The 11,134-nt window shown below is 40.0% G+C and overlaps 1 protein-coding gene and 1 long non-coding RNA gene across 20 annotated transcripts in view; one reads left to right on the top strand and one right to left on the bottom strand.

Moving 5' to 3' along the window:
• Positions 1–327, top strand: part of LOC105375245 (uncharacterized) — a 57,295-nt gene extending 56,968 nt beyond the window's left edge. The window contains exon 3 of the long non-coding RNA XR_927196.3: positions 237–327. This is a non-coding gene — a long non-coding RNA (uncharacterized LOC105375245). The remainder of the gene's footprint in view (positions 1–236) is intronic.
• SUGCT (succinyl-CoA:glutarate-CoA transferase) overlaps positions 1–11,134 on the bottom strand; it is a 903,812-nt gene that overhangs the window by 798,574 nt on the left and 94,104 nt on the right. For all 19 annotated transcript variants that reach the window (XR_007060157.1, XR_007060158.1, XR_007060156.1 and 16 more), the window contains exon 7: positions 2,517–2,608. Coding sequence is in view for 16 of the 19 variants with exons in the window: in XM_047420840.1 (XP_047276796.1) it covers positions 2,517–2,608 (92 nt within the window). In the remaining 3 variants the exon portion in view is untranslated. The remainder of the gene's footprint in view (positions 1–2,516; positions 2,609–11,134) is intronic.

The following is an 11,134-nucleotide window of genomic DNA, read 5'->3' as shown; positions in this document are numbered from 1 at the left end:
CAAAGTGCTGGGATTACAAGCATGAGCCACTGTGCCAAGCTGGCCTGATTCTTTTCAATCAGCTTTTATCTTTAGCTGTCAAACCACACTTTATGGAGATCTTTAGAAGCATAATAATGGCCTGAGGCACACTGTTATTTATATATGTTCATAGCACCCTGTACTCTTCTTCGCAGTTCTTTTTATTTGCATGTAATAAATATTTTCTGCTAATGTTTGTTTTCCCTACTTAACAGCTATAGGAAGATAAGGACTGTGCCTGTCCTGTTGCCTGCTTAATCTCCAGCGCCTACCACCATTCCCACCGTACAGTAGGAAACAGATGCGGTAACTACTTACTAGGTTGATGTGTAACTTAATTAAGGAATGAAAGATGTGTCCATGTGAAAGAAATACAGTGTGAGAGTTAAGCTTACTTAATGTAATACATGGAAAGTATATAAAGCAATGTTTGGCACATACCAAGCACTCAATAAATGTTATTTGCTCACCTAGAACAAAAATCACCTGAGTAGGGTAACACAAGAGATAAAAGCTGTTATTGACTGAGAAATTATAAGGTTGAGCATATACTGTGTGATTATCCCTGTTAGACCACAGTGCAATGTACTAAAGGAACTACAGTAATCCCCCAGCTCAACAGTTTTTCATTTAATTCATTTTACCATTTGAATATAGAAATTTTTAAATCCCAGATCTTTTCACATATTCCTAATTGAGTTCAACACCCTTAAATAAAACCATTCACAATAAAGAATGTCTTGGCCACATGAGAGCCTATGGAATTGAGCAATGAGAGAAATGTCCATGCTCTATTCTCTCAATGGATGGAAAGAAAACTGGTGCTCTTGAATATTTTAAGGGAAGGCCAGCAGGGTACAGCAGCTCATGCCTGTAATCCCATCACGTTAGGAGGCCAAGATGTCGTGAGTCCAGGAGTTCAAGACAAGCCTGAGCAACATAATGGGACACCATCTCTACAAAAAATTTAAAAATTAGTCAGGTTTGGTGCCACACACCTGTAGTCCAAGCTATGTTGGAGGCTGAGGTTGGAGAATCTATTGAGCCCAGGAGGCTGCAGTGTGCCACGGAGGCTGCACTCCAGCCTGGAGACCCTGTCTCAAATAAAACAAAACAGGCTAGATGTGGTGGCTCATGCCTGTAATCCTAGCACTGGGATTGGATCACAAAGTAAGGAGTTCAAGACCAGCCTGGTCAAGACGGTGAAACCATGTCTCTACTAAAAATACAAAAATTAGCTGGTCATGGTAGCTGGCACCTGTAATCTCAGCTACTCGGGAGGCTGAGGCAGGAGAATCCTTTGAACTTAGGAGGCAGAGGCTGCAGTGAGCTGAGATCACGCCACTGCACTCTAGCCTGGGCGACAGAGCAAGACTCTGACTTAAAAAAAAAAAAAAAAGCAAAGGCCACACACATTTTTTTCTAAGACTTGTGAAAATGAAACGAAGATGAAAGTACAATAACTTTGTATTTCCAGAAATTAAAACCCCAACAGTTGCTTTGAAATTAATAAAAAGTAAATCTCATCATGAGAAAATAGAGGCAAAGGAAAATAATTAATTAATTAATAAGTAAAATTAAATAAAAGGAAGACTGCAAAAGACTTGAGGTCACTCTGTCTCAGTTTATTCCAACACTACAGCAAGCAATATTTCCTGAAGAATTAACTAGAAGAAGTGATTTGGAGAATGAACACCCACTGAAACAAGTTTTTTAAGGCCATCAATCTAGTTTGTTTTGAAATGGGTGTGTTTTAGCATTTTTATTTACTAGGCTTTCACAATTTTTTTCACTTTGTTTAACGTCATTCATATTGCTTTCCCCGAGAGCCTTTTTTTTAATCTAACCAACCACATTTTGGCCATCTAAATACTTGTTAGGAACTTCCCAAACCACTATCAATGGAGAGGAATTATTATAAAATCAAATAATTATTTCACTGTCAGAATCTAAGGCACATGACAAATTAGATACATTTAAACCTGAGGGAGGCTTTAAGCAACAAATTTTCAAATACATAACTACCTATATTTTTCCAAAAGGAAAAATAGACCCTCTGCTATGTACACATGGCAGATGAAGGCACTCTAGTAGAAATGGACATCCGTGGTCTAGTCTAGTCAACTGTTTTATTTCAAAGAGGGAATATTCCTAAATCACACAAAGGTGCCTATATTAAGCTTGAATAACATAATAAATGTGGAAAGTGTGTTCACCATCTGATCTATGGCTTCTTGCTAAAAACATTGCTCTTTTCCATGTGGCCAAATTGATGTTTAGACTCAATACATTTGTAATGAACACTTCCTGTTTTACTTTCATAAGCATTCACTTTCCCTGGTTTCTTTCTAAAATTATTAATTTCAATGGCAAAAACAGCAATTACTTTTGCCCCAACCTAACAACTCATTTAATCCTATGGGTTAGTGCAGAGTAAAATCCTTTTGGAATATGTAAGGGAAGAAATTATGAATATTCTAAGGAAGGATACCTACCTCAGGCCCTGTGATGTGCATCAGACCAGAAACAGCCGAGGCAACAGCATCATAACCAGCTCGCTGAGAAATTGGACCTGTCTGACCATACCCTAAAACAACAAAAATAAACATATTCAGCACCACACAGGGTGTGCTAAAACCACTGTACAATATAGTGTGTTAGAAACATTTGTATCCAGAAATCCTGCAGCATTTCGAGACTATTAGATCTATACCATTCCTTGAAGAAGGCAGTAAGAATTCATTATAGTGCTCGACCCCGGCTACTCATTTTTTTTTGAGATGGAGTCTCGTTCCCGTCGAGCAGGGTGGAGTGTAGTGGTTCGATCTCGGCTCACTGCAACCTCCACCTCCCAGGTTCAAGTGATTCTCCTTCCTCAGCCTCCCGAGTAGCTAGGATAACAGGCGTGCACCATCACACCCAGCTAATTTTTGTATTTTCAGTAAAGACAAGGTTTCGCCATGTTGGCCAGGCTGGTCTCAAACTCCTGATGTGAAGTGATCCACCTGCCTCAGCCTCCCAAAATGCTAGGATTACAGGCATGAGCCACCGCGCCTGGCCTACCCTGGCTATTCTTAAAAAAAAACTCAGGCCGGGTGCGGTGGCTCACGCCTGTAATCCTAGCACTTTGGGAGGCTGAGGTGGGCGGATCACTTGAGGTCACGAGTTCAAGACAAGCCTGGCCAACATGGTGAAACCCCATCTCTACTAAAAATACAAAAATTAGCCAGGTGTGGTGGTGCATGCCTATAATCCCAGCCACTGGGAAGGCTGAGGCACAAGAATCACTTGAACCAGGAGGTGGAGGTTGCATTGAGCTGAGATTGCACCACTGCACTCCAGCCTGGACAATGCAGGGAGACTCCCTTTAAAACAAAAAAAAAGGAAATAATTCAAAACCAGGCCCACATTCTCACATGCAATAATCAATTAGAGTCGAGTATTGCCTCTCCCCTCTACATAGGGCATAAATCCTCTGATTTGCCACAGGGTCCACCACTCTACTTCCATATGCCTCAGCCGGGTTTCAAGTACTTCCCTGACTCCAACAGGTATTTGCTACCCTTGCTTTGTACACAGTAATATACAAAGTTAAGCTAATATACAAAGTTAAGCAGAACAATATCTCCCTGAGTTCTATTTATGTATTTTCTCAAGTAAACAAAGAAAACCTAAATGATTTTAAGATTTGGACATAAATAAACAATAACATCAACTAAGTGATTTTTAAGATTACAAAGAGAAGGTAGAGAAGGTGTCAAATTTTTTTTTTTTTTTTTGCCATCAGAAAGAATCAACAGAACACAGGAAAGATTTTCTTCTACTCCCCTCAGTCCTGATGCTTATTGCTACATCATAAAAGTTGTATCAGGCCAGGCGTGGTGGCTCACGCCTATAATCCCAGGACTTTGGGAGGCGGGAGGATCACCTGCGGTCAAGAGTTCAAGACCAGCCTGGCCAACACAGTGAAACCCCGTCTCTACTAAAAACACAAAAATTAGCTGGGTGTGGTGGTAGGCGCCTGTAATCCCAGCTACTGGGGAGGCTGAGGCAGGAGAACTGCTTGAACCCGGGAGGCAGAGGTTACAGTGAGCCGAGATTGCACCACCGCACTGCAGCCTGGGCAACAGAGAAAGACTCTGCCTCAAAAAATAATAACAAAAATAAAAATAAATAAAGGTTGTATCAGAAGCTACATAAATTTGTCTCCAAATCCTTCATATCAAGCAGAGTGACCCAATGAAGAGCTTTCCATACACATCAGCTACTTGCTGATATTCCCTGCATATGCTGCTTTAGGAAGGCCATGAAAGGGTTGCCTGCAAGCCTTGTTTCTCCAGCCACCTGGAAGACTCTCCCTCAACCTTTTGTAAAAGAGCACCCTCATTATATATGTTGCCACAGCACTTATCACAATAGAAACACAATACCATTATTTGTTAGATTTATTTTGTCTCCTCCCTACTAAAGTGTATACTCCAGAATGTTTTTCTGTTTGGTTCACTGCTGTATCCCCAGCCTCTAGAACAGTGTTCAATAACATTTATTGAAGGAATGAATGAGTGCAAAAATATTTTATATAAAAATAATTTTTTGGCTGGATGCGGTGGCTCACGCCTATAATCCCAGCACTTTGAGAGATCAATGCAGGCAGATCACTTGAGGTCAGGAGTTTGAAACCAGCCTGGCCAACATGGTGAAACCCCGTCTCTACTGAAATTACAAAAATTAGCCAGGCGTGGTGGTGCATGCCCGTAGTCCAGCTACTTGGGAGGCTAAGACAGGAGAATCGCTTGAACCCAGGAGGTGGAGGTTGCAGTGAGCCAAGTTCATGCCACTGCACTCCAGCCTGGGCAATAGAGTGAGAGTCTGTCTCAAAAAATAAAAATAACAAAAATTTTTTTCAAAAACAATCTATAAAAAGTAAATAAATAAAACCACAAAAGTGAGTGATAATCACCAATTAATCTACCCAGATGCATTCGCCACCAGAAATGATCTTTGTCACAAATAAGAGTATGTAAAACAAACTCCACAGATAAAATTATCACTTAATATGAAGGAATTAAAATAATTCAAGATTATAATTATTGATGATTAAAAAAAGGTGTTAAAACATGTCTCTGCTTATGTTTTATCTTGGAAAATTTCAAATAAAAATAGATAGAATATATAATAAACCCATCGGTCAACTTCAATAATTATTCATGGTCAATTTTATTTCCACTATGCCTATCTTTCAATTAGAACTGTTACATGAAGAAAAAATAAAACCATTATCTTTTTCTTTTTTTTTTCTTTTTTCTTTTTTTTGAAACTGGGTCTCACTCTGTCACCCAGACCGGAGCGCAGTGGCACCGTCGGGGCTCACCGCAACCTCGACTGACTGTGTTCCAGCAATTCTCCCCCCTCAGCCTCCCCAGTAGCTGGGACTACAGGCACACACCACTACACCCAGCTAATTTTTGCATTTTGGGTAGGGATGGGATTTCACTATGTTGCCCAGGCTGGTTTTGAACTTCTGAGCTCAAGTGATCCACCAGCCTCAGTCTCCCGAAGTGCTGAGATTGGGCATGAGCTACCACGCCCGGCCACATAAAACCATACTGAAAAACCCAAACGTCTTGATTCAGGTAAATTACAGTTTTATCTCCCAATATCAATAACAAAATGTATAAATTCTTAACTATTACTTTCTCAGTCTTTAGAAGAACAAAAATGGGATATGAAGCAAATAAAGAGAAATAAACTATAAGCCAACATTCTCTGTGCAGAAATAACGCCAAGTTTTAGAGAATGAGTTCCAGGGCAGGTAGTGTGCTGCTGTAGAGGGCACCCTGGCCCGGGATTCCAGCCTTCAAAGCAATGGTTTTCAAACCACTGGTAGTCCCCAGCACAAAACAAGTCTCCAGGAACAGAAAGAAGCTGCCACCATCGGCAGGAAGGCCTGTGCACTGTGAACCACCTGTTATCTCAGCAGGAAGTCAACAAAAGAAATTAAGTTTCAGTTAACTCTAGGTTCGGAAAATCAGGTGCTTCTGGCCAGGAGCCCAAATCCCTCAAATGGGACAAACCCAGGTCCCTCACCATCAGTGCAACTCTAAAAGGACTCTTCTAAATAAAGGCCTGCAGGAAAAATTCTCTTTTTGTTCAGCTTAGAACAAGGGAGAGACACAAATATCCTAATTACTTTAAATTACAACTTCTAAGTATTTCTATTAAAGAGAAAAGGAATAGTTGCTCTCATTGGAAGCAGTAAAGTATAGGGAAAAAGGGGAGTTTTAGGATTAAAAAAAATCTGGATTCAAATTATAGTTCTGCCAACTATTAAATCTTTGACAATTCATTCAATCTTCCTAAGCCTCAATGTCTTCATCTGTAAAATGGCAATATTCACATTTATCTCATAGATTTCTTATGAGGATTTAATTTGATTAGATAACACAAGCAAAATGAATTTTATATCAAGAGCTAAATATACATAATTACTAAAGATGCATTAATCAATGTATAAATAATATATTAGCTTACCTTTTCTACAAAATGTTGAGAATAACAAAAAGAAAACTACCCTGAGGTATGTCAAATGATGACAATAGACATCTAAGCATTTAAATTATGTTGTTTAATAAACCATAAAAATTAAGATATTTTGTACGTGGAATCTTGCACTTGTTCATAATAGCGAAGAAGCTGACAATAATAATAATAAACGTGGCTCTCGCCTGTAATCCCAGCACTTTGGGAGGCCGGGGTGGGTGGATCACTAGGTCAGGAGCTCAAGACAAGCCTGTCCAACATGGTGTAACCCTGTCTCTACTAAAGATACAAAAAATTAGCCAGGCATGGTGGCGCATGCCTGTAATCCCAGCTACTTGGGAGGCTGAGGCAGGAGAATTGCTTGAACCCGGGAGGCAGAGCTTGCAGTGAGCTGAGATCGTGCCATTGCACTCCAGCCTGGGCGACAGGGCAAGACTCCATCTCAAAAATAATAATAATAATAATAATAAACATATATATTCCATAATAGGAGTCAAAAATTATTCCACATTTTCACCTTATACTTGTAACTATTTAAATACTGACTACCAGTACTATGAATAAATTTTATGAGAATAAATAAATAAAATTTTAAAGCAGAGAATGAACATCAAAATGGTATTTTACTAAGATTACTCTGTTGGTGATGTGCAGAATGAAATTATTCATTAATAATTTAATGAAGAGGTAGAAAAAATGTTAAGCCTGGGATCCAGATAGTTCCTTTAAATTTTATTTTTAGCTTTACAATTCCAAAAACAACTATGATTAAAATCTAAATTAAAGAGGAAAAATGTATGCATATCGATTCTACTTTATATTCAAGTAAAGAGCTAAGAAAAATCAGGGAAGTTATGGAAAATCAGAGAGGAATACCCAACACACATTTTCTTTCTCTTTCTCCCTCTCTTCCACTTGGTAATTCACATTCATTTTAAGGAGCAACCTCGCCATCTTGTGGCATTTATGGACACTGAAAGCAAAACGTGAATTTCTAGACGTTGGTAAAAACGTACAGGGAGGAAGCTAAGGGGAAAAGATTTATTATCTCTTAATATTTTCCCTGAGTGCCATATGATCTGGCCTGCCTACCCCATTTTTCTTCTTAATTATGTCTGACTTTGTGTTTTCCCTCTCTCCCATCAGTGCTCAACACACTGTCTTGTTAATGGTTATACTTTTGGAGGTCACAGGTCCCTTTGACAAACTGGTAAGAAGCTATGAACTCTCCTCAGAAGAAAGTAATTGAATACATGCTCATACTCTTAGAACCCCACTCATTAACCCCTGTTGCCCTGGGTTAAGAGTCAGGTTAACGACCTTCAGTAGGTCATCACTGCTCTAGGCCTGGAGAACCTCAATTATCAAAACAACTCTCCCGACAGGGATCTGTTCAAGGACAGCTTTGAGGCTTCCAAGCAACCAAGAGACTCAGGATGAGGCTTTCACTTGATAATAAAAGGAAAAAAGAGAACAAAATAAAGTATCTCTCATCTAGACTATTCCATTAGCCACCTGTTTCTGCTCTCCCTACCTCATTTTTGACTCTTGTGATCACAGTGATTGACTGATTGATTGATTGAGACAGGATCTTGTTCTATTACCCAGGCTGGAGGGTAGTGGTGTGATCTTAGCTCACTGAAGCCTCAAACTCCTGGGTTGAAGCAATCCACCTGCCTCAGCCTCCCAAGTAACTGTGACCACAGGCATGCACCACCACATCCAGCTAATTTTTAAAATTGTTTGTAGAGATGTGGTGTTGCTTTGTTGTCCAGACTAGTCTTCAACTCCTGGGCTCAAGCAATCCTCCCACCTCAGCTTCCCAAAGTAATAGGATTACAGGCATAAGCCACCACGCTCAACCATACAGTGACCTTTTGAAAAGGTAAATCAGTACACTACTTTCCTGCCTAAAGCTTTTTAAGGGCTTTCCAAGTCACTTAAAATAAACCTCCACTCTTTATCCTGGCTTAGAGGGCCCCACATGGCTTGGTTACTACCTACTCTTTGGCCTCAGCTCGTCTGTTTTCCCAATGCCCTATCTTGGGCCCTGATATTGTTTTTAGTGTTCTCCACAGCTTATTCCCAAGGTGGGGCCTTTGCACAACCTAGGATGTATTTCTCTCCAATCTTCACATGGCTTGCTACTACATCCTCCTCAGAGAAGCTTTCTCTACCACCCAATCTAACATAGACTCCTAGGAATTCTCTAGCATTTTATGATATTTTCATTCTCTCTAAAGTACTTATCACTAGTGGATACTTTTATATTTTTGATGGATATCTCTCTCCTCTAGAATGTTAGTACCCTGAGGCCTGTGACCAAGGTGACTGTTCTCTGCAATATCTTTAGCACCTAGAATTACGTCTACCAGTAACTTAGCAAAAGCATGTTTAATAAATGAGTGAATGTGAATATATAAGTCTGGGAATAAAAACAACACTTGTTACAACCGGCTATAGGACAGAGATAAACCTCTGCTCCCTCCAGTGATGTCTGAAATAACCTATTGAGGGTAGAGGACTCCTGGCAACTGAGTTTCTGAGGTTCAACTGTTGGCATTCCCCAACAGTCCATATTTGGTCCTCTCTCTTCTCATTCTCATCTCTCTAATGAATCTCATCCCTTCTAAACAAGATACTGGAAATTCCCGTATCTAGAATAACAATGACAACATTTATCAAGTTATTGTGTATTAGACACTCTGTTAGACTTTTGTCAATTATTTGTTTAATTCATATAACAACTCTATGAATTATCCCCTTTTTACAACTATAACTGAGACATGGAAAGGTTAACTAACCTACTCAAGGTCACACAAATAGGAAGTAACAGAGCTTAGATTTGAACCCAAGTCTGGGTCCTTAAATAAAAAGATGTTTATATATATTTATGCATGTATGGACATCTCCACCAGAAAGTCCAAGGGAATGCAAGCTGACAACCCCTAAGAAGAAGTTATCCCACTTAAGTCACATTCATATGCCACCAACCCAGACTGCTCCTTCTACATTCACTAATTCAAACTGAAGGAAACCTAAGGGCCATCCTGGACTCTATTCTTTTACTTCCTGCCTATATCCAATAGATCACTAATTCCTAATTATTTGACCTGCCAAGTAATTCCCAAATCCATCCAGCCTCTCATGTCCTGCGATAGCCTGCTTACCACTTCCCCTGTCTCAGTTTATTCTTCATGTGGCTACAAAAGCCTTTCGAATTTGTAATTCTAATCAAGACATTTCCTTATTGAAATTCTTACGAAATTGCCTGTAGGATAAAAATAACAGTTCCTTAGCATGACATACTGAATTGTTTGTGACCTAGCCCCCACTCACTACCTATATCTTATCTCTGGCCACCACGTGACATGCATACTTAGAATAGCCGTTCTTCAGACATGCAAACTCTTTAATTCCTCTGGGCCTCTATACATGCCATTTCACTTGTGATCCTCATCTCCATTGTTTGTCAGTTCAAGGACAGCTCAAACCTAGCACTCTTTAAGATACAGACCTGGTCAATGATAGGTTACTAGAGACAAGAAAGAAGCAGGTTTCAAAGAGGACTAAGACCTATCCTGGTAATGAGTTCAAAAACAGTGTATATTTAAAAGTAATACCATTGTTATTAGCTAGAAGGTTAAGATTAATATTCTAAGCAACTACAGAAACTCCAACAATAGACTGTTTACCTCAAAGGAGAATAAAATGCAATAAAATGTTTCATAGTAAGTAATGTAATTCTTCAAAATGTACATACATACCTGGATTCTGTTTATTTCTCTACTCATTTTCTAGTGTAGGATGTTTCTGAATTAAAATGATAGGAGGTATAAACTCCTGATGCTTTTTTTTTTTTTTTTTTTGAGACAGAGTCTTGATCTGTGACCAGGCTGGAGTGCAGTTGCACGATCTCGGCTCACTGCAGCTTCCAACTCCCAGGTTCAAGTGATTCTCCTGCCTCAGCCTCCCGAGTAGCTGGGACTACAGGCACGCAACCACCAAGCCCAGCTAATTTTTGTATTTTTAGTAGAGATGAGGTTTCACCATGTTGGCCAGGATGGTCTTGATATCTCCTGACCTCGTGATCCACTTGCCTCAGCCTCCCAAAGTGCTGAGATTACAGGTGTAAGCCACCGCACCAGGACTTTTTTTTTTTTGAGACGGGGTCTCACTCTATTGCCCAGACTGGAGTTCAGTGAAGCAATCTCGGCTCACTGCAACCTCCACCTGCTGGGTTGAAGCCATTCTCCTGCCTCAGTCTCCCGAGTAGCTGGGACTATAGGCGCATGCCACCATGCCCGGTTAATGTTTGTATTTTTAGTAGAGACAGGGTTTCACCATGTTGGCCAGGCTGGTCTTGAATTCCTGACCTCAGGTGATCCACCCGCCTTGGCCTCCCAAACTGCTGGGATTACAGGCGTGAGCCACCGCACCCAGCGCATATTCTTTTTTAATATTTATTTTCTTATCCATCCACTAAAAAGGCCTAGAATCAAAGACTAACCCAGTATCACTGAGATTCCTACTATCAGACAGTAGTATGTAAATACCACTTCCCACTAAGAGG

This window comes from Homo sapiens, chromosome 7 (assembly GCF_000001405.40).
Source record: "Homo sapiens chromosome 7, GRCh38.p14 Primary Assembly".
In the NCBI taxonomy this organism is placed as follows: domain Eukaryota; kingdom Metazoa; phylum Chordata; class Mammalia; order Primates; family Hominidae; genus Homo; species Homo sapiens.
Note: the sequence above shows the minus strand (reverse complement) of the source record. Positions and strands in the feature narration are given on the sequence as shown.